The sequence below is a fragment of the Homo sapiens genome, chromosome 6 (genome assembly GCF_000001405.40).
Source record: "Homo sapiens chromosome 6, GRCh38.p14 Primary Assembly".
NCBI lineage: Eukaryota > Metazoa > Chordata > Mammalia > Primates > Hominidae > Homo > Homo sapiens.
Window position 1 is genome coordinate 136,817,207 of NC_000006.12, and position 23,021 is coordinate 136,840,227.

General features: G+C 40.9%; 1 protein-coding gene across 4 annotated transcripts in view, besides 8 other annotated features; it reads left to right on the top strand.

The window, feature by feature from the left end:
* Positions 4,957-5,106: an enhancer, noted in NCBI's record as "active region_25126". NCBI's record gives its function as "activates an Ori minimal core promoter by ATAC-STARR-seq in GM12878 lymphoblastoid cells {active_cell/tissue: GM12878}" and the evidence as "EXISTENCE:reporter gene assay evidence [ECO:0000049][PMID:35858748]".
* Positions 4,957-5,722: a biological region, named in NCBI's record as "H3K27ac-H3K4me1 hESC enhancer GRCh37_chr6:137143334-137144066".
* Positions 4,990-5,722: an enhancer, noted in NCBI's record as "H3K27ac-H3K4me1 hESC enhancer chr6:137143334-137144066 (GRCh37/hg19 assembly coordinates)". NCBI's record gives its function as "activates a minimal SCP1, AML or CMV promoter by ChIP-STARR-seq in naive and primed H9 embryonic stem cells {active_cell/tissue: H9 hESC(naive and primed)}" and the evidence as "EXISTENCE:reporter gene assay evidence [ECO:0000049][PMID:30033119]".
* Positions 5,287-5,666: a silencer, noted in NCBI's record as "silent region_17576". NCBI's record gives its function as "represses an Ori minimal core promoter by ATAC-STARR-seq in GM12878 lymphoblastoid cells {active_cell/tissue: GM12878}" and the evidence as "EXISTENCE:reporter gene assay evidence [ECO:0000049][PMID:35858748]".
* Positions 5,386-23,021, top strand: part of PEX7 (peroxisomal biogenesis factor 7) — a 91,343-nt gene continuing 73,707 nt past the window's right edge. For 3 of the 4 annotated variants that reach the window (NM_000288.4, XM_006715502.3, XM_047418874.1), the window contains exons 1-3: positions 5,386-5,589; positions 8,008-8,065; positions 9,113-9,263. In NM_000288.4, coding sequence (NP_000279.1) covers positions 5,460-5,589; positions 8,008-8,065; positions 9,113-9,263 — 339 coding nt within the window. In that variant the 5' untranslated portion in view covers positions 5,386-5,459. Of the gene's footprint in view, positions 5,590-5,691; positions 6,174-8,007; positions 8,066-9,112; positions 9,264-23,021 lie in introns of those variants that run through there. The other variant, NM_001410945.1, reaches the window with a different exon arrangement.
* Positions 5,723-6,455: an enhancer, noted in NCBI's record as "H3K27ac-H3K4me1 hESC enhancer chr6:137144067-137144799 (GRCh37/hg19 assembly coordinates)". NCBI's record gives its function as "activates a minimal SCP1, AML or CMV promoter by ChIP-STARR-seq in naive H9 embryonic stem cells {active_cell/tissue: H9 hESC(naive)}" and the evidence as "EXISTENCE:reporter gene assay evidence [ECO:0000049][PMID:30033119]".
* Positions 5,837-5,996: an enhancer, noted in NCBI's record as "active region_25127". NCBI's record gives its function as "activates an Ori minimal core promoter by ATAC-STARR-seq in GM12878 lymphoblastoid cells {active_cell/tissue: GM12878}" and the evidence as "EXISTENCE:reporter gene assay evidence [ECO:0000049][PMID:35858748]".
* Positions 11,132-11,332: a silencer, noted in NCBI's record as "peak6150 fragment used in MPRA reporter construct". NCBI's record gives its function as "represses an SCP1 promoter by STARR-seq MPRAs in K562 erythroleukemia cells {active_cell/tissue: K562}" and the evidence as "EXISTENCE:reporter gene assay evidence [ECO:0000049][PMID:32103011]".
* Positions 14,791-14,991: a silencer, noted in NCBI's record as "peak6151 fragment used in MPRA reporter construct". NCBI's record gives its function as "represses an SCP1 promoter by STARR-seq MPRAs in K562 erythroleukemia cells {active_cell/tissue: K562}" and the evidence as "EXISTENCE:reporter gene assay evidence [ECO:0000049][PMID:32103011]".

Below are 23,021 nucleotides of genomic sequence, written 5' to 3' on the forward strand. Positions count from 1 at the left end.
TTTAGAGGGCAACTTAAAACGTAGATGTGCTTCATCATGATTATAAAGTATATGAGCCAAAAAATTAGCAAAGTACTAACAGCATTGAGAAATCCTTACTTCTTGGTGATAGCAAAAGAGGTTAAGAGAGAGAATCAAGAGTGAAATGGGGCCAGGCACAGTGGCTCACATCTGTAATCCCAGCACTTCGGGAGATGAAGGCAGGCAGATCATTTGAGGTCAGGAGTTTGAGGCCAGCCTGGCCAACATGGTGAAACTCCGTCTCTACTAAAAATACAAAAATTAGCTGGGCATGGTGGCATATGCCTGTGATCTCAGCTACGTAGGAGGCTACGTAGGAGGCTGAGGCAGGAGAATTGCTTGAACCTGGGAGGTGGAGGTTGCAGTGAGCTAAGATCATGCCACTGCACTCCAGCCTGGGTGACAGAGTGAGACTCCATCTAAAAAAAACAAAAAAAAAAGAAAGAAAGAAAGAAAGAAAAAGAGTGAAATGGGAACTAGAGGGTTTAATTTTCTGCCATGAAGAAGTAATTTTAATACTTGAGCCAAGTTAGAATGCACACAACTAAAATGATAGCCCCTGCCAATTGAGGGCTTACAGTTACACATGATACCTGCCCCATTTAATCCTCACAACAACCTTTTGAGGGAGATGTTATCAGCATATGGATTTGAAACAGCCAATGTATCACACCTCATGTTGTTTTGTTGAGTTGAGCCTGCAGAAGAGGCACCTGTCTATCCAGCCATGTGGGGAATCAAGGAGCTGTCAGTACATGTGCAGCATCATCTAAAATATTAATCCTACCCAAGAGCTGAAAGTAGATAAATAGATGTCACACACTTTCCACCACACAAGCTAAAAAGCATAAGGCCTGGTTTCAATCCCAGGTTTCTGACTCTAAACACCATGCTCTTAATTGCTGTCTTTCCAGAAAAAGACGAAAAGACTAAATGCATTTTCTACTATGATCAGATTATACCAATTGCTCTTATATTTTTTTTCTCTCCTTCCACATAGAAGTGCAGTAAATGTATGTCCTAAACCAACACTCTAGTTAAGATTCTAATTTTATTGTAGCAAAATATACATACCATACAATTTACCATTTTAACCATTTTTAAGCAGACATTTCAGTGATGTTGAGTATATGCACATTGTTATACAATCACTGTCATCTATTTCCAGAACTTCATCTTCCTAAACTGAAACTCCATGCCTGTCACACAATAACTCTCCATTCCCCACTTCCCCTTGCCCCTGGCAACCACCATTCTATTTTCTGTCTGTATCAATTTGACTACACTATGTACCTCATATAAGTGGAATCATACGGTATTTGTCCTTTTATGCCTGGTTTATTTCACTTAGCATAATGTCTTCAAAGTTCATCCATGTAAGAATATCCCTCCTCTTTAGGGAAGAATAATATTCCACCATATGCATATATTACATTCTCTTTATGTGTTCATTTATTGTCTTAGTTGGTTCAGGCTTCTATAACAAACTATCATAAACTTGGTACCTTATAAACAACAGAAATATATTTATCACTGTTTTAGAGGCTGGAAAGTCCATCATCAAGCCATCAGCAGCAGGTTTATGTCTGGTGAGGTCCCACTTTCTGGTTCATAGATGTTCACTTCTTGCCGTGTCCTCACGTGGTGGAAGGGGTAAGAGGGCTCTCTCTCCAGCCTCTTTTATAAAGGTAATCATCTCATTTATGACCTAATTACATCTCAAACACCCCACCTCTTAAAACCATCACATTGGTGATTAAATTTCAACATATGAATTTGGGGGGGACAGAAACTTTCAGACCATAGCATCTGCCAATGGACACTTGGGTTGCTTTCACCTTTTGGCTATTATGAGTAATACTGCTGCAAACAGGAGTGTACGAATATCTGTTTGAATTGCTGCATTTAATTCTTTTAGATATATACCCAAAAGTGGAATTGCGAGATTATATGGTAATTCTATGTTTAATTTTTTAAGCAATTGCTATCCTATTTCCCATATCAGCTGCACCATTTTACATTACCACAGATTCTAAAATTTTTAACAAGAAAGTATAACTAAAATAATAAGTGATGAATGATATAAAACGAGCAAGGTAGACAATTAGCCCATAATTAGAGACTCTCAGAGCTTTAAGGGTCTCTAAAGTGCATCAGTCCAAGTATCCATCATATATTTGAAGATAGTGCTTAAAGTTCTTGGATGATGATTACATTAACCCTCTGGCAAACATTGATTAAAGGCTAACTAGGTACCCAGCACAATGCTGTGCAGAGCTAAAAGGAACAATGAAATTATCCATCCTTTCTTGGAATTATTTCCCATAACTACCATATGCAGCCTGCCGATTTACCTAGGATAATGATTCACCTGGGTAGAAAGACCACGTATTTCAATTATTTTACTTCTGGTCTCTCTCCATGGGAAAGATAGACTAGTTTTAAAAATGATGTGGGTTGGTAAATATTTGCAGTTAGAGTCTTTGTGAGGTCACCATAGCAGTTATAAAACAAAACAATCTAAATATAATTGTAGATCCTTATAGAAACCTGACATCTAGCCATGTCTGCCTACATTATTAGGCCTTCCACAGAGTTAAATGGTCTTCCACAGAGTTGGCCAAGTTTAGAAGTTACACAACTCTGAGGTGTAATGAATGCTCATAAAAAATGGTTTCTGTCTCAGTTGGGAAATACCAAGTACTCCTAAACAATGACAAGAACAGGTGGAAGACAACAAAAAGAGTCTTTTTTTTTTTTTTTTTTTTGAGACGGAGTCTCGCTCTGTCGCTCAGGCTGAAGTGCAGTGGTGTGATCTCAGTTCACTGCAACCTCTGCCTCCAGGGTTCAAGCGATTCTCCTGCCTCAGCCTTCTCCAGAGTAGCTGGGATTACAGGTGCCCACCACCATGCCTGGCTAATTTTTGTATTTTTAGTAGAGACAGGGTTTCACCATGTTGGCCAGGCTGGTCTCAAACTCTTGACCTCAAGTGTTCTGCCTGCCTTGGCCTCCCAAATTGTTGGGATTACAGGCATAAGCCACCATGCCCGTCCCTTCCAGGCAATTCTTAACTCCAATTCTATCCATACCCCTAGCAAACTTGGACTCCACTTAGTAAAGCATGGGTGGAGGAAGGGGTGTGGAGCAAGGGCAGGGGACAAGGAGAATCTAAGGAGCATTTCATGTTCCTTTTCCTTAATTTTCCAGTTCACCTCAAGTTGTCAAACATTTGTGCAGTGTTTACTATATATTGGACATTCTTCAAGGTACTGGAGACACAAACAAATTAGACTTGGACATTACTTCGAGATGCTCAAAATCTAGTGTAAGAGTATGGTTTATTTTTTATATGTTTAGTTGTTTATATTTTAGAAAGCTTCACAGGTGGGATGAAATATTTTACAATGCTATAATCATGTATGGTTAGGTAAGGAGCAGGTAATAGCTCAGTTTGTGTGTGTGTGTGTATGTCCAAGGTCACTGTAAATAGTTTACCCCAGCTGGAACCAGCCTTTCTCCCTCCCAGAGATACCACACTATTTTTAGCTTAGATTGGATAACTCTTTATATACAACTCTTTGCCAAGGTCCCAGCTGCTTCATGTTTGCTTACTTTGATATTTTATTAACGCCTATTTAGCATTTCAATAAACTCCAGAATGTTTCCAGGTTACTTTTTGTAGTATTACGAAAAACACACTGATCATTTAGGCACTGTATTAGGCTGCATTCACTCAACATTTCCTGAATGCTTAAATACCAGGTCCTTGGGATACAACAGCGAACATAACAAGCAAAAATTTCTGCCCTCATGCAGCATACATTCCAGTGACTACATATGATAAAAATCCAAAATAATAGAGGCCACACTGGTCTGGATCCTCAAGTGATCCGCCTGCCTCGGCCTCCTAGTGTGCTGGGATTACAGGTGTGAACCACCGCGCCCGGCCTGCAAAAGTCTTTTAACTGGCCTCCCCATCTCCAAACTCTATCCTCCATATTAGTGTTGCAGGACTTTTTAAAATAAAACCTTGGTCATTTAATTTCTCACATTAGAAAACTTCCACTGTTTTTCACTGTTTACAGTAGAAATCCAATTCTCTTAGTATGGTATATAAGACTCTTCATGATCTAGCCCCAGTAAAACACTCTACAGTCTCCCCACCCAATATTTTTTTCACCGTATCCCTTCCATCTGGCCAGGCTGAGTCCTGGCAGCCACGACCCCCTATGGATCATGCTGGTTTAAATCTCCTGGGTTGCTCATGTTATTCCTGCTCCTACAAAGATCTCCATCTTCTTGTCTACCTAAAGAAAACCTACTCATCTGTGTGCAATCACCATAAAGACTTATCTCTCTTCTGCAGCCTTTCCTGCAATTTCCATACCTCTGGCACGGACAATCACCTTTTAAAAATACCCCATATAAATTTATCATAGCCTCTACAGTATTTTGATTACACTTAACTAATTACATGACTTCTCTTTTAGTCTTCTTCTCTAATCTCTTGAGGCCATGGACCATATCCCATTATTTTGAATCCCAAATGCCTAGTACTGTTCTTGGTATATGGTTAAGATGATCATACGACTTGGTTTGTGCCTGTTGACCTGGCTTAATAATTACACCCTCTTTACTCTCAAAAGTATCTTGGTTTGGCAGATAAATTATATTTGGTCATTCTCCACATAGTATATGCCTGGCAATAAATGAATGAATGAGCACCAGCATCTGAGCACTTATTACCATACAATATATACATGTATAGTAATACTTTTTAAAAAAGTTGTATATGATGATGTGCTGCTTTTTTGCTTAGCTTCATTAGAACTGGCCAGCTCCTTTTTCTCACTTGCCAAGCATGGGGAGTTGGTTTGGAGTTGGTGTTTCATCTTTTCCAGTTACAGTGTGAAAGTAGCCCACCAGCCCACGCTCTTATTCCTAAAGACCGCAGTGACTCCACGGACTTAAGTTCTCATTGCTTCCAGTTTCCTTGGGCAACGCAGCACGCAATTTTGGACGCGCTGCGTGGTTTCAGAGTCGGCTGTAACTTTTCTCACTTTATAATCATCAGGAAAAGTTCCTGATGCCAGTCTTCCAAACGCTCAATGAAATAAAAACCAGATAGCACCGCAGAGGAGGCTGAGATGCAACGACAAAAGCTGTCGTAATTATTAATAATACCTAACCCTGGATCACTCCCCTGATAGATCTGTATCTTTGCAGCAGGCGCAATTCAGTTTGGATTCACCCAAAACAAAAATGGTCTCCGTCGGAGTCAACGCCCTTTCCTGTGCGGACCAATCAGAATCTCAAACACAGGGCACGGGGCCCACACTTCCGTCCGGTCTGCCTGGTCTCTCTAACCGCGCCAGTGTGCCTCCGACTCGGAACGGCTTCCGCGGCCGGGGCAGCGAGGGCCGGGGGCGGCGGGCGGGATGAGTGCGGTGTGCGGTGGAGCGGCGCGGATGCTGCGGACGCCGGGACGCCACGGCTACGCCGCCGAGTTCTCCCCGTACCTGCCGGGCCGCCTGGCCTGCGCCACCGCGCAGCACTACGGCATCGCGGGTGAGGCGGCGCCGCGCAGCTGGGGCCGGGGGGCGGAGGCGGAGGCGGGGGCCAGCCGGGCTCCAGTTCCTCGCGCTCGAGGGAAAGCCCCTCTGAGCGTAGACGGTTCCGCGGGTCCACGCCAGGGGGCAGAAGAGGCGCTGGTCGGCGCTTCTCCTTTCTTTGCCGAGTGCGAGGAGTTGGTCTGAAGCAGGAGTCGATCTTCCAGTTGTGTGCAAGTGCATATACGTGTAGCCTAGTAGCCCGTGTCCTTGTTCCTTGAGACCGCGCTGCCTCCGCCACGTGTCACACGCCCAGGCACACGTCCCCGTAGGGAGAGCCGGGGGAGCCTGCGCGGTCCCTTGGATCGGTCCGCTCGGCACAGCAGTACGGGGAAGACGGTCTGAGCCAGAACCGACCCAGGGCTCGCGAGTTGGCCCACAATTCCCAGTCTGCATTCGAGCACTGAGCTGCGACCTGCGGGCTGGCCTTCCTAAGGACGATGCTCCTGAATGGACGCCTGGAGTCCCACGGGTGACACCATGAAATATATCAAGTTCAGTTCTTACCTGTAGTTGTCTAACGAGGAATGCACACATTCGCAAGTAGGTGTTACAGACTCCAGTTAATTGTCTCCCGTCGCGCGCATTGGCTCAGCCTGTGGTTAAAGCTGCTCAGGAGGCTGAGGCGGGAGGATCGCTTGAGCCCGGGATGTTGAGGCTACAATGAGCTGAGATCACATCACTCTGCCCCAGCCCAGTGAGCTGAGATCACATCACTCCACTCCAGCCTGGGTGACAGACTGAGACCCCGTCTTAAAAAGAAAAAAGGCCAAGCGCCGTGCGGTGGCTCACGTCTGTAATCCCAGCACTTTGGGAGGCCGAGGTGGGCGGATCACTTGAGTTCGGGAGTTCCAGACCAGCCTGACCAACATGGAGAAACCCCATCTCTACTGAAAATACAAAATTAGCCGGGCGTGGTGGCGCATGCCTGTAATCCCAGCTACTCGGGAGGCTGAGGTAAGAGAATAGTTTGAACCCAGGAGGCAGAGGTTGCGGTGAGCCGAGATCGTGCCATTGCACTCCAGCCTGGGCAAGAAGAGCAAAACTCCGTCTCAAAAAAAAGAGTCCATCTAGTCCGTGGACTAGATGAAAAGGCGTAGGTTCATTCTCGCTTTTGCCTTAATTCATGTCCTAGCTATTATACGCACTGAAGCGAGATGCAAAAACTCATTTCATAATGTCAGTGGTCTATTGTATTTTTTTGTTTTGTCCTACAGCAGAAAAAAATGTTACTTCTAAAACTCAGAGAAATACTTGATTTATTTTCATTATTAGCTCTTAGTGCTTGCACATTCAGATTTACATGGCCCACCAGTTAGACTGAAGACTCATGAGTCTATAATGGTAGTAGTTTTCTTTTTTTCTTTTTTCTTTTTCTCTTTAGAGACAGGGTCTCACCCTGTTGCCTAGGTTGAGTAGAGTGGTGCAATCACAGCTCACCGTAGCCTCCACCTCCTGGGCTCATATGATCCTCCTGTCTCAACCTCACCAGTAGCTGGGACCACAGGCATGTACCATCACACCTGGCTAATTTTTGATTTTTTATTTTTGTAGAGACAGGGTATCACTATGTTGCCCAGGCTGGTCCGGAACTGGGTGCAAGCGATCTTCCTGCCTTGGCCTCCCAAAGTGCTGGGATTACAGGCGTGAGCCACTGTGACTGGCCTGTAATGCTACTTAAAATCTTATGCAAAAACTCTTTAAAGGGAATTGGTATTTAAAAAAAAAAATTCAGTCATGTTTAAATAGAAGAGATTTTCCCCCTTGGTCTCTATAAAAAGTAAACATAACTTTTAAAATACAATGGCCCTTTGGTAAAATAATCTTTGACAGGTAACATATTAATACTGTTTTCAGCACTTTATTACCACCAGTTATGTAGTAAATCCCACCAAGTATCTCCGCATTCATATTTTGTTTTAAAATCCTGTGTGAGATGTGTTTTAGATTTACTGGTGAGGAGTGCAGTCCCTGGGGTCTGTAAGCCAGAGGTTTCTCATCTGTCAGTAGGAATGATAACACCAACTTGGAAGGTTTGTGTCTCTGGTGCCTTGTCTGGCTACAGAGTAGGCCCTTAAGTATTTCACCCCCCTGTTAGGTCCATGTCTGAATTCCAATCATAGGTGCAATGGGAAGTTGAATATTTAGTAACTGAAGTACAATATGGAAAAACAGAAATAGAGAACACATTTGGTATTCATGTCCCAAAAACTTTAGGGAGAAATTGATCACCTGACCATTTGGTATTCAAGGTCCCAAATACTTTGGGGAAAAATTTGTGGTATTAAAATCAGGTATCAATTACTTGATAACTCCTTGACTTTCGATGTTACCCTGGCAGGTTCAAAGGGATGACCTTGATTTTTTTTCTCTTTAGGCTGTGGAACCCTACTAATATTGGATCCAGATGAAGCTGGGCTAAGGCTTTTTAGAAGGTAAGGGGGCTGAAATTATTAAAGGTATATATTGTTGCTATTAAAGCCTTAATAGAATTAGGTTTTGACTCTTTGATTAATGTTTTAATATACAGTATAAAAGGAACCTTGGCGTTTGCATAGGATGAAGCTTATTTTTAGCTGATTGTGGTGGTGCGCACCTGTAGTCCCAGCTATTCCCAAGTCTGAGGCAGAAGGATCACTTGAGGCCGGGAGTTCAAGACCAGCCTCGTGGGCAACATAGGAGGACCCCGTCTCTAAAAGAAATTTTTTTTTTTTATGCACAGAGTCTGGCTCTGTCACCCAGGCTGGAGTACAGTGGCGCCATCTTGGCTCAGTGCAGTCTTCCCCTCCTGGGTTCAAGTGATTCTCCTGCCTCAGCCTCCCAAGTAGCTGGGATTATAGGTGCCCGCCACCACACCCGGCTAATTTTTGTATTTTTTAGTAGAGATGGGGTTTCATCATTTTGGCCAGGCTGGTCTCAAACTCCTGACCTCAGGTGATCTGCCCACCTTGGCCTCCCAAAGTGGGTATTATATGCGTGAGCCACTGGGCCCAGCCTAAAAATTTTTTTAATTTTTAGGCCGTAGTCCCAGCTACTTGGGAAGCTGAGGTGGGAGGATTGCTTGAGTCCAGTTCAAGGCTGTAGTGAGCTGTGATTGGGCCACTACACTCCAGCCTGGATGACAGAACAAGACTCTTTCTCTCAAATAAAAAACAAAACAAATCTGAAGCCTGTCTCTTAGTGTCCACTCATAAATTATAAAATTTAAACATAAAAAAATGTGGAGCAGTATACTGTGTACTATTACATTTTTGGACTACTACATTCCACTGGACTGTTTTTTTTAACCTTTCTGAATCTGTTGCCATATTTGTCAAGTACCTACTCTACTTAACTCCCGTAGTTGTGCAGATTACATGAGATATACGTGTTAAAATGTGTGATAAATTGAAAGAAAAAAAACCATAATTGTTATTTTTTTTGTTGTGTAGCTGCCTATGTAAGTGTTGTATTTTTTTGTTGTTTGTTTTTTCCTAGTGTAGCTTTGACTGGAATGATGGTTTGTTTGATGTGACTTGGAGTGAGAACAACGAACATGTCCTCATCACCTGTAGTGGCGATGGCTCGCTGCAGCTCTGGGACACTGCCAAAGCTGCAGGGCCACTGCAAGTCTATAAAGAACACGCTCAGGAGGTAGGAGGGAAATCTTTCTGGGCTGATTATTTTTCTTTCTTCGACTTTGGTTGAAATCCATTTGGGGATGGACACATGGAGAAATATCTTCAGGGGACAAGTTTAAACGTTAGCATTTCTTATACATACTAGATGTCACTTATTATTTGATTATTCAAACATAAAGTACCTCTTGGCCTAAGGAGTGGGGAAAGAAAAGAAAAGGTCAGTCTTCTCATTAGGCAGAAAGAACACCTCCAGCAGTGTACTCTGGCACCATTTCCTCCTGAGAGGCCCATCACTTTCTTTGTGCTCTAAGAATGTGCTTGCCACATGGTGCCTTAAGGTAGAGGTAGGTGGACTTTTCACATAGACATCACAAGATTGCCTTTGGGGCTTCAGTGAGATTCCCGAGGTGTTTCAGAGTATATTGGAGCAAGAGCATAAAATACTGAGTATGAGGCAGAACTTACTGAAGGGATTTTATATCTAAATCTGGTTCATGTGTCTAGATTTTGTGTGTGTGTATGTATAGCATAGAAAATAGTTTGGGCTTCAGTTGTACTAACATACATGTATATTTTCAGTGAACATAAAGACATCCTCTTTTTGTGTTTTTACCTTAAATGTTTTAAGATTTTCCTTAAGGGAGCAGTACATCCTTCAGATGAAAACTTGCTAATCTACTTTCAAATTTTTGTCCACCACAGTGCCTGGCCCGAGAAGGCCCTCAATAAATGCTTATTAGATGCAAGAATATCAGTCTTTTGTGGTAAAGATTAGTTATGTGAGGGGTCCAGATGTTTTATAGCTGTAGCTATTGACAATCAAGATTTCTAAGATTGTTACTGAAATAATGAAAAATTTTAGTTTCTATTTTAATTATGATAGCTATTTGAATAAATGTAGTTGTAAATTACTATGTTTTCAGGGAATTACTGAATATTAAGACAATTTTGGTAAAGGAGAAATTTTAGTTTCAGGATAATCAATGCACGAATCTCTACAGAACAGTATGTCCAAAATTCAGATACTTTTGTGGAACCTGTGTGAATTTGTGTGTGTGTGTGTGTGTGTGTGTGTGTGTGTGTGTGTGTGTGTCAGGGTCTCACTCTGTTGCCCAGGCTAGAGTGCAGTGGTGCAATCTTGGCTTACTGCAACCTCCACCTTCTGGAATGGGCTCAAGCCATTCTCATGTCTTAGCCACCCGAGTAGCTGGGATTACAGACGTGCGCCACCGTGCCCTGCTAATTTTTGTATTTTTAGTAGAGACGGGTTTCACCATGTTGGCTAGGCTGGTCTTGAACTCCTGGGCTCACATGATCCACCTGCCTTGGCCTCCCAAAGTGCTGGGATTATAGGCGTGAGCCACCGTGCCCAGCCAATTTTTGTGTGTGTGTGTTTTTTTGTTGTTGTTTTTTTTTGTAGAGATGGAGTTTCGCTATGTTGCCCAGGCTAGTTTTTGTGATGTTTGACATCTTTTTATACCACTTGTATTATAATGTATTTCTTTTCCTTCTTTCTTTTTTAAAAAATATTTTTCTTTTCAGAAGTTTTTTTTTTCCTTTTTCTTAAATCTTTGGTGCCTTTTATTATCTATATAAATTCAAGGATGATAACTGACATCATAAAATAATATAGCTAGTTAAGGTAAATTCAATATATTGACTTAATGTTTTTCTTTCAATCAAGTAAAGTCGTTGCTTCATTTATCCTAAAACAGTAATATTCATGAAACAATGGGGTTGATGGCTACTTTAGTATGTACATTTATTTGTTTTTAGTGTACATTGAGATAAGTAAGTAATGAATAAAATAAATGTATGTACCAGTTAAAATAATCTCTGGTGTAACTACTCTCTGGAAAATACTGTTCTAGGATATCCTGGATGGATGCTCACTCAGTCTTTACTTCCTGTCAGTGAAAGTAAATTTCACTTTCTCTTGAGATAACTTATTTGACTTTTAGGTTGTTCTGATTATTAAGAAACTGCTTCTTGTAATCCCAACTCTACCTTCTATAGCAACCAACTGCTGCTTTTAGTGTCTTTCTCTGAAGTGGCAAGACCAGGTCCAGCCCCTCTTGTCCAGGAAACCTCTTGAAAATAGCCATCGTGCTCTCTTCCAGACTGTGCACTTGTCATTTCATTGTCCTGTCCTCAGATGACATGATCTGTACGTCTTTCATCCTTCTGATAGCCTCCTTTGATAATCCTGTTTTTCAACTCCCCTTTCAACATATACCTAATTTATTCCAGAAATGTGATGAAGGGCTAAGCTTTATAAGATTTTACCACCATAGTCTTGAGCCCCTAGCTCTAATAATATTACCTAAAGTGGCTATACATTGTTCTCAGCCATGTCTTAGTGTTAGGTTACTTTGAGTCTGCTAGTAACACACTTACCTCTTTTGTTATTTGAACTGCTATTAAACCAGTTTTACATCATTCTGTGATTTTGCAGCTGATTTCTTGAACCGAAGACACACTTCTGTTTTTTAATTTTTTAAATTTGTTTTGCGTACTGCTATTCTAGTTAGACTTCCTCGTTTTCTTTTCAAATGCACTTTTTGGTAAGCGTTTGTATCAGGATGCCTTGAATGTTAGTGTAATAGAAAACAATTAAATGGCTTCAACAGTCAGAGTTTACTGTTTCACATATTTTGCTTGGTTATGTGAAAAATAAATGAAGATAACCTTTTTAGGTATTTGTTACAGCAGCACCCCTAATTCTTGGCACCAGTTTCTGCCTCAGTCTGTTCAGGCTGCTGTAACAAAGTATTATAGACTGGGTGCCTTATAAAGAACAGAAATTTATTTCTTACTATTCTGGAGGTTGGAAGTCCAAGGTCAGGGTGCCCACATGTTTGGGTTCTGATGAGGGCCCTCTTTTAGGTCAAAGACTACTGCTGTCTTTTCATTGTATCTGCAGGTGGTGGAAAGAGAATGAGAGAGGTTTGGGAAATCCCTTTTATAAGAGCACTAATCCCATTCATGAGGGCTCTACATTCATGACCTAATTACCCCCCAGAGGCCCTACGTCCTAAAACCATTACACTGGGGGGTTAAGATTTCAACATGTGGGTTTTGTGGGGATATATTCAGTCCATTGCATATGCCAGATACTCAAAAATACTTAAAAGGATTTAAGCTCAAATGAGAGTTTTAAGGAGCTAGTAAATATTTGTTGAATAAATTAATAAATGAGGCTGAGTGCAGTGAGTCATGCCTGTAATCCTAACACTTTGGAAGGTCGAGGTGGGCAGATCACTGAAGGCCAGGAGTTTGGGACCAGCCTGGCCAACATGGCGAAAACCCCGCCTCTACTAAAAATAAAAAAATTAGCTGGGTGTGGTGGTGCACACCTGTAGTCCCAGCTATTTGGTGGCTGAGGCACAAGAATCATTTGAGCATGGGAGGTGGAGGTTGCAGTGAGCTGAGTTCGTGCCATTGCACTCCAGCCTGGACAACAGAGTGAGACCCTGTCTTAAAAGAAAGTTATTAAAAAAAAAAGTTGATAATGAACATAGCCAATTTCTGTTTTTTTTTTTTCCACCAGTATGTTCAGGGAAGCTGTGTTGTGAAATAGAAGAGCAACTAATGGGTCATTTTCTTCTGTGGAAGAGAGTATATAATAAAGACGTATAGCATGGTTTTAGTCAATCTTGGATTTGAATCCCAGCTTTGTAAGTTACCTGTTGTGAGACCTTGCGTATGTCACATATTTTTCCTAAACTTGAGTGTTTTTATTTGCAAACTAAGTTTATTAGTAGTCTGTATCACAGACCAGCATTGAATAAATATGAGCTAGTATTATTATTTGCTCTTATTATAATAGGGTTTGAAAAATGTAAAACAAGTTAGAACTTTTCCAGTTACCCACTTTACCACTTGATGGCTATGTGTCCAACAGTCAATTTTCAAGTTGTCAGATGAAGCAAAAAAGAGAAATCCAAGATTTAGATATATTTTAGGCTTTGAGGAGTGAAGGTCTTGGTGAAATGAAAAGAAAGAAAAACATGGACATTATCTGTGTGAATGGTTGCTAAACCTAGCATCGAAGTAGGAATCAAATTCTTCTGTCTATTGTTTAACTGGTGTCTGCAGAGGTCATTATGTCTTTTGAGTCCCATAAAATGCCTTTGGCTTTGCTTATTCTAATGCTGCTGAATATATAATAAAAATTTTTAAAAGTTCAGTGAGAATAGAAAAATAAGAGTGAATTGACAATTTTATTTCACTGCTTTCTGACTTAAAACACTGTGCTACTGAGAGTGAGTTAAAGTGACTTTAAAGATGACATAAATCAATGTAATATATTAATTTCTAATTTTCAGACTAATGAGTTGGCTTATCACAATTTAAAAATGAGTTAAAATTTGTTCTCATAGTCAAATAACAAGGTTTATCAATTTGCTGAATTTTTATAACATATTTGATCCATTGAGGTTTTTGAGCATTGCTTATAAAAACTTATTTTTGACCTAAGTATACAACTATTAGTATTCTGTTATGGAGGAAATGTATTTGCTTATACATTTCAAGAGTTAAAATCTTGTTTACTTTAAAAAATGAATCAATTATTTACTTTTTGATAATGATAGAAGCTGAGAAGTCAATAATGATAGGTATTGTATTAGTCTGTTTTCACATTGTTATAAAGAAATACCTGAGAGTGGGTAATTTATAAAGGAAAGAGGTTTAATTGACTCACAGTTCCACATGACTGGGGAGGCCTCAGGAAACTTAAAATTATGGCAGAAGGTGAAGGGGAAGTAGATAACCTTCTTCACAAGGCAGCAGGAGAGAGAGAAAGAGAGAGAGAGAAAGCAGGGGAAACTGCCACTTTTAAAGCCATCAGATCTTTTGAGAACTCCCTCACTATCACAAGAACAGCATGGGGGAAACTGCCCCCATGATCCGATCACTTCCTACCGGGTTCCTCCCTGGACACATGGGGATTACAATTCAAGATGAGATTTGGGTGGGGATATAAAGCCAAACCATATCATTCCACTCCTGGCGCCTCCCAAATTTCATGTCTTTTTCACATTTCAAAACCAATCATGACTTTCCAACAGTCCCCCAAAGTCTTAACTTATTCCAGCATTAACCCAAAAGTCCAAGTCCAAAGTCTCATCTGAGACAAGGCAAGTCCCTTTTGCCTATGAGCCTATAAAATAAAAAACAAGTTAGTTACTTCTAAGATACAGTAGGGCTATAGGCATTAGCTAAATGTTTCAAATGGGAGAAATTGGCCAAAACAAAGGGGCCACAGGCCCCATGCAAGTCTGAAACCCAGCAGTGCAGTTACTAAATCTTAAAGCTCTGAAATGATCTCCTTTGACTCCATATCTCACATCCAAGGGGTAGGCTCCCATGGCCTTGGGCAGCTCTACCCTTGTAGCTCTGAAAGGTGCAGTCCTTATGGCTGCTTTCACTGGCTGGCATTGAGTGCCTGTGGCTTTTCCAGCTGTACAATACAAGCTGTCAGTGAATCTACCTTTCTGGGGCCTGGGGGACAGTGGCTCTCTCCTCACAACTCCAGTAGGCAGTGCCCCAGTGGGGACTGTGTGGGGCCTTCAACCCCACATTTTCCTTCTGTACTGCCCTAGCAAAGGTTCTCCATGAGGGCTCCTCCCTTGCAGCAGACTTCTGCCTGGACATTCAGGTGTTTCCATACATCCTCTGAAATTTAGGTGGAGGTTAAACTCTTGTCTTCTAAACTCTTCTTGTCTTCTGTGTACCCACAGACCCAACACCACATGGAAGCTGCCAAGGTTTAGGGCTTGCACCCTCAGAAGCAATGGCTTGAGCTGTACCTTGGCTCCTTTTAGCCATGGCTGGAGCTAGAGCAGCTGGATGCAGGGCACCATGTCTTGAGGCTGCACAGAGCAGCAGGGCCACTCAGGCCCACAAAACCATTTTTCCCTCCTAGGCCGCTGGGCCTGTGATGGGAGGGGCTTCTGCAAATGTCTCTGACATGCCTTGGATACATTTTTCCCATTGTTTTGGCTATTAATATTTGGCTCCTTGTTACTTATACAAATTTCTGCAGCAGGTTTGAATTTCCCCCCAAGAAATAGGTTTTTCTTTTCTACCTCATGGTTAGGTTGCAAATTTTCTGAACTTTTATGCTGTGCTTCCCTTTTAAATATAAGTTCCAAATTCAAATAATCTCTTCATGAATGCATGTGACTATACACTTTTAGAAACAACCGGGTCACTTCTTGAATGCTTTGGTGCTTAGAAATCTCTTTCACCAGACACTCTAAATCATCTCTCTCAAATTCAAGCTTCCACGGATCTCTAGGGCAGGGGCAAAATGCCACCAGTCTCTTTGCTAAAGCATTGCATGAATGACCTTTACTCCAGTTCCCAGTAAGTTCGTCATCTCTATTTGAGACCACCTCAGCCTGAACTTCATTGTTCATATCACTATTAGCATTTTGTTCAGAACCATTTAAGAAGTCTTTAAGAATTTCCAAACTTTCCCACATCTTCCTGTCTTCTTCTGAGCCCTCACACTGTTCCAGCCTCTGCCCGTTACCCAGTTCCAAAGTTGCTTTGACATTTTCAGATTATCTTTATAGCAGTACCTCACTATCCTGGTACCAATTCTCTATATTAGTCCTTTTTCACACTGCTATAAAGAAATACCTGAGGCTGGGTAATTTATAAAGGAAAGAGGCTTAATTGACTCACAGTTCTGCATGACTGGGGAGGCCTTAGGAAACTTACAATCATGGTGGAAGCAGACACCTTCTTCAGAAGGTGACAGGAGAGAGAGAGCAAGGGAAACTGCCACTTTTAAAAGCATCAGATCACATGAAAACTCACGATCACTAGAACAGCATGGGGGAAACTGCACCCATGATCCAGTCACCTCCTACCAGGTCCCTCCTTCGACACGTGGGGATTACAATTCAAGATGAGATCCGTATCAGGTGCCAATAAAAAATATTAATGCAGAATGACAACCAGTCCTGCATTTAAAACTAGTGTGTTTTCTTCAGAAATGCATTTATGTTTAAGACTACACAACACATTTATCAACTGAAGGCATTTTTTTCTTTGCATCCTGTTTCTTTTTTAAAAATTGAGGAAATAGTTGGACTTGATATATTTCTTTTTGCATATTTAGTCATGCCCAGCCATTCATTTTGGAATAGGTTACTGCAGTAAGATTTTATTACAATTGATAATAGCCATTTAAAGCTTTTCCCTGTAAAGATTGTGATTGTACAGAAAAATAGTTTCTAGTTAGATGTCACTTGAATCAATTCTCCCTTTTTGGATTTTACTGCCATTAGGATGTGATATGTCATCACTTTTCAATTCTCATGTTTTAAAAGCATTTACCTTCTTTTGGCTTTGTTTTATATTTTAAAGTTTAGACTTGTATTAAAAAAGGCAGACCTGTCTCTACTTGTAGCACATATTATATGCCAGGCATGTGCCAGTCATTGAAGATGTAGGTATAAATAAGACTCATGTGCTGTTCTCTGATTGTAGTTTGGGACATGCAGACAAACCATTTAGGGTCCCACGTAAATTAAAAAACAACAACAACAAAAAAAACAACCATTCCGTACAACATGATAGATATTGAAAAGAGGTATCTAGAAGGTACACAGAGAGGAGAACCAGGGACTGCCACAGAAGAGTTGCTATTTGACCTGAGTCTTGGGTAGTTAGTAGTTTTTAGTAGTTTGCTAGGTAGCCCTAAGGGAAAGGGACATTTTTTGTTTTGTTTTTATCTTGAGATGGAGTCTCACTCTGTTGCCCAGGCAGACTGCAGTGGCACAATCTCAGTTCACTGCAACCTCTGACTCCTGAGGCAAGCAATCCTCTGGCCTCCTGAGCTCGAGCAATCCTCCTGCTTCAGCCTCCTAAGTAGCTGGGACTATAGGCGCTTGCCACCATGCCTGGCTAATTTTTGAATTTTTTGTAGAGATGGGGTTTCTCCATGTTGCCCAGGCTGGTCTGGAACACTTGGGCTCAAGCAATCCACTTGCCTTGGCCTCCCAAAGTCCTGGGATTATAGGCATGAGCCACCACACCCAACTGAAAAGGACATTTCTGATGGAGAAGAGCCTCTACAAAAGTTAAGATTTGTGAAAGAGCGTGGCATGTCCACACAACCAGATGTCCTTTGATGTGCCTGGAGCATAGAGTGTGTGTACTAGGAGATGGTGTAATGGAGGTGGGTAAGGATCATATCCTAATGGGCCTTGAATACCTGGATGGTGGGGGTTGGACTTTATGCTTTGAAAATTCAGGAGAAAGATGGATTGTGTAGATTTTGGGCCACACACTGTGGGCAGAAAACAGGACATACATGTATAGGTAAGTATTAGCCATTTTCTACTTAATCTGCTTCTTTAAGTATTAGCTGTTAGGTAGGACTAGACTACAATTCAGGCATTTGGAATTTTAATACTTAACATAAAAAAGGTGTGCAAAGGCTTGTCTTAACTCTTTAGTTTTTTGTTTTTTGTTTTTTTTTGAGATGGAGGTTCACTCTTGTTGCCCAGGCTGGAGTGCAATGGTGCAATCTTGGCCCACTGCAACCTCCGCCTCCCAGGTTCAAGTGATTGTCCTGCCTCACTCTCCCAAGTATCTGGGCTAACAGGCATGACTAATTTTGTATTTTTAGTAGAGATGGGGTTTCAACGTGTTGGTCAGGCTGGTCTTGAACTCCTGACCTGAGGTGTTCTGGCCGCCTCAGCCTCCCAAAGTGTTGGGATTACAGGCTTGAGCCACTGTCCCTAGCCTTAAGTCTGTGGTTCTTAAACTTTGCAGCAGATTAGCATCACTTTGGGAGCTTACAAAAATTTTTTTTTCTTTTTTTTTTTTGAGACAAAGTCTTCCTGTCTTGCCCAGGCTGGAGTGCAGTGGCATGTTCTCAGCTCACTGCAACTTCCACCTCCCGGGTTCAAGCAATTCTCCTGCCTCAGCCTCTTGAGTAGCTCAGATTATAGGTGTGTGCCACCGTGCTTGGCTGATTTTTGTATTTTTAGTAGAGACAGGATTTCACCATGTTGGCCAGGCTGGTCTCGAACTCCTGACCTTGTGATCCGCCTGACTCGTCCTCCCAAAGTGCTAGGATTACAGGCGTGAGCCACTGCATCCAGCCAGGAGCTTTAAAATATCTTCATGCCCAGGTCACAGTGTCTGGGGCTGGAGCCAGACATCAGTATTATTTAAAGATTCCCAGATGATTTCAATGTGCAGCATTGTTTGGAAGCCACTGCCTTGACTTGGTAAGTGTTCAATTCTAATGACCTTCGTAAGTGTGTTATCTAGTAATTTGGAGATTGCAATATTCAAAATATAGATTTAAAAAACCTTTAATAAAAGGAGCGATTTGATTTACCTTGCAAAATCATTATTCCCAACCCATTATCTAACCTCAAAGTTTCTAAAATTTTTTAAAGAAGAGAAAATGATAGTTTTAAATAGATGGAAACTATAATAGAATATGTTCAGATAGAGAAGGACTTTGAAGCATGACTGCTGCTACTATATCTGTAGTCTCTCTCATACACACAGTGTAGGTGTCAACACTATGCATGTCTCTGAAGTGAGTTAGTGAGTGAATTGTAGATAGAAATTAAAATCCCCATCTCTGATTTTAGAATCTATTAAAAAGCATATGTAGGAGAATTATGCAATCTTATTTGAGAACTTATATGAAACTGGAAATTAGTTTTGCTGCAAGCTAATATGAGGTGAAATTATTGGTAGAGCTATGTAAATATATGTAAAATTTGTTTTACATAAAGAGAGGAATAGAAGCATATATATTTAACTATAGCTGTTATATATTATAAATATATATAGTGTATATACATTTCAAAAAGAAACAATGGAAAAATAATTCAAAAACTAATAAAAATGGTTACCTTGAAAGAGGGGGTAAGGTAGAAAGCAGGGGAAGGGGGACCAGAATGGAAATAAGATTTCTTCAGATATAACTTGTATTATAGTTTTGACCTTGGAACCATTGAAATGTTTTATGTAATTAAGAATCCCAATATGTTAATAAGTTGGAAAGAAAAAGCAATTGCTAAAAATTGAAAACAAGCACATTAATCTAAAGATCTATCAAATTGGTGCCATAACTAGGTATTGAAAATAATTATTCAAGTGACTTTAAAAACCCAGTATTGTGATTATACATTCCTAATAAGATCAGTCTAATGAACAAAAATAATTAGGCCTGGGCATAGTGGTTCACGCCTGTAATCCCAGCACTTTGGGAGATCAAGGCGAATGGGTCACTTGAGGCCAGGAGTTCGAGACCAGCCTGGCCAACATGTTGAAACCCCATCTCTACTAAAAATACAAAAATTAGCCGGGTGTGGTGGTGAACATCTGTAATCTCGGCTACTTAGGAGGCTGAGGCAGGAGAATCGCTTGAACCCGGGAGGCAGAGTTTGCAGTGAGTGAAATCATGCCACTGCACTCCAGCCTGGGCAACAGAGTGAGACTCTTGTCACAAGAAACAAAAACAAAGAATTGGAAAGAAATTTGAAACTGCATTCAAAAAAATTAACATTGTTACTTTGAAACTCATATGTACCTTGTAGGATAAGGCATATCAGTAATTATGTCATTAGAAACTGAAAGTTTTAGCCGCGCTTACGCCTGTAATCCCAGCACTTTGGGAGGCTGAGGTGGGCGGATCACAGGGTCAGGAGATTGAGACCATCCTGGCTAACACGGTGAAACCCTGTATCTACTAAAAAATATTTTAAAAAATTAGCCGGGTGTGGTGGCGGCCTCTGTAGTTCAGCTGCTCGGGAGGCTGAGGCGGGAGAATGGCGTGAACCTGGGAGGTGGAGCTTGCAGTGCGCCAAGATCGCGCCACTGCACTCCAGCCTGGGCGACAGAGTGAGAGTCTGTCACAAAAAAAAAAAAAAGAAACTGAAAGTTTTAAAGTGAGAGAAAAGCGTTATGAGAATAAAGAAGTAGAAGCGATCTTAAAGTTAAATGGGGAATAGTTATATAAACTTGTGATTTATTTTTCTCTGTCTAAAAAAAGTACATATTTCTTTGTTTTTTGCACAGTAAAGATTTAGAAGCAGTGACAACTGAGTAGCAGTGAATATTCTTAGTGCCCTGAGTATGGCCTCTAAATACTGTTTGCCACTAACAGGAATAGTGTCTTTGGAGAAGTCATTTATTCCAGAGCTGAGCAGGAATGCAAGATATCTTCTTGTGTCAGAAAGCAGGAAAGCTATGAAAGGCCGCTGGAGACATATCAAAGGTTTAGAAGGTACAACTTGAAGGGACTCTCACTGGCCGAAGATGAGACTATTGGAACAACCAAAAGAATGAAAGCAATGAATTTAAACGCCACACACACACACACACACACACACACACACACGTACATGTATTTTCAGTCCTTACGTGGAGATGGAGTTGTGATTAGGAAAAATGTAGTCACCATTGAAGATTATTAGGACATCCAGCTCATTATTCTGAAAATTGATAAACAAAAGTAAAGAATCAGTGCATTTACTTTCCCTTTCTTGTATGAGTTTTATTGTGGTATTATAAAATAGTTGATAAGAAAAGTTCTTGCTAATAGAGTTCTAGCTAATAAATGCAGAAGGAATAACAGAATTAGAAAATCACTATTTAGTAGCCCGTAATGAAATAATGATTAGGCAGGGATCATGTGGATGCTAAAACCATTAGTTTAAGATTGAAACATTCTGTGAACAATCTTAGGATCACTAAAAGTGGGTCAACCAGAAATTATATGCCTCCTAATATAATTGGAAGCTAAAAAACATGAACTGAATCTGATTAAGCCTCCAGATCTAACTTCTAATTTAAAGGAAATTGGAAGGGTAGAGAAAAAAGTTAATTACCACCATGAGGAAACATTTGGGATAATCCAGAAGGCAAGACATTCTACAAGACCAATAACTTGGTTTTTTCAACAAGTAAATGTTATGGGATGTGGGGCAGAAAGAGCAAGGTGTCAGGAGGAGGACTGTCCTAGCTTAGAGGATACTTAAGAGACATAACAGCTAAGTGTAAAATGTGGGTCTTGTTTGGGTACTGATTCAAATAAGCCGACTGTAAAAGAAACATTTTTGGGACAGTCAGGGAAATATGAATAAGGACTGAGTGTTAAATGATATTAAGTAGCCATTGTTAATCTTGTTGGGGTGAAATTGGCCTGTGCTTATGTAAAAAAAGATAAACCAGCCTTACCTGCTGAAGTATTTAGGAATAAAAGGTCTGATGTTAGAATACTCCAGCAGTCAGTCATTCAGTCAGTAATGGGACAGAAGAAACATGATGGGCAACATGTTGATTATTATGGAAGGTGTGTAATGGGTGCCTGGGGGTTTATTATACTATTCTCTCTACTTTTATGCATGTTTTAAAATTTCCGTAATGAAAAAACCTGAAAATTTAAGTTTCAGGGCTGGGTATGGTGGCTCATGCATGTAATTCCAGCACTTTGGAAGGCCTAGGCAGGGGGATTACATGAGCCCAGGATTTAGAGACCAGCCTGGGTAACATGGTAAAACCCTGTCTCTACAAAAAATTAAAAAATTAGCTGGTGTTGTGGTGTGCACCTGTGGTCCCAGCTACCCGGGAGGTTGAGGTGGGAGGATCAATTGAGCCCAGAAGGTGGAGGCTGCAGTGAGCTGTGCTCGTTCGTGGCACTGCACTCCAGCCTGGGTAACAGAGTGAGATCCTGTCTCAAAAGAGAAAAAAAAGAGAAAATTTAAGTTTCACCTTAAAAGAAATATATAGCCCTTTCTAATCACTCAGTAATTAAAAGTCAGTGACCCTTTCCTTTGTATTCATACAGATAATAATAAAAATTCTGGACATAGTTTTTTATTTGACAATTTTTAATTAAGTAGACCAACTTAAAAAGGGCAATGCTTTACAGTAGATTAAATATGAGCTCTTTGGGAATTGGTTTCAGTAATAAAATTTGTCCTCTCAAACTGTGGTTTTGATGAGGTTCAGATTTCATAAAGCAGCACAAAACATTGTGCGGTGGGTTTTTTTCTTTTCCCATTTTCCTGGTTAATTTTCTTCACCACTGCCAAGAGTAATTTAATCAGATAGGCCTCTAGAGGACCCTGCTCTTAAAGCATAAAGTCAGGCACTGCATATCTCTCTTCCTTTTTATATTTAATTTGACCATTTGCCATGCCCACTATTTGAGTGGGTGTGGACGGGGAGGTTGGGAATAAGGAAGAGATGGAAGAGGAGACTAATAGAAGATGTGCTTTTCATTCAGATTTGTTTCTCTTTTCCTTCATTCATTCCAGAAACTTTTATTAACTCTACTGTGTGCAAGATACTGTACCAGGCTAGCTGGGAAGACAAAACACCTTAGGCATGCCCTTACCCTCCTGGGGTCCTTGCACTGTCTGGGGAGGCAGGATTCTGGTTGTCTAATGTCTAATGTGGTAAGCGCTGTGAATGTATGCAGTGTTATGGGAAGGGAGGATTTGTCTGGGGAAGGGGCAGGGAGGGCATCCTTTGGTCTAAAGGGGAAGTTGGAATGAATTATTCAAGTGGAGAGGCCAGGGTAGTAGTGTTAGAGGCAAATGAAAGAGCATGCTTGACCAGAGAGGATAGAGCCTGTGTGCTTAGAGCTGTCAGCGTTTTGGCCATTGTGCCAAGATCAGTGGAAAGACATTGCAGATTTTAAAAATCAATGAAATATTTTATACATTATAAAATACATGTAAGATGTAAAAATGGTATATTGAACACACATATTCAC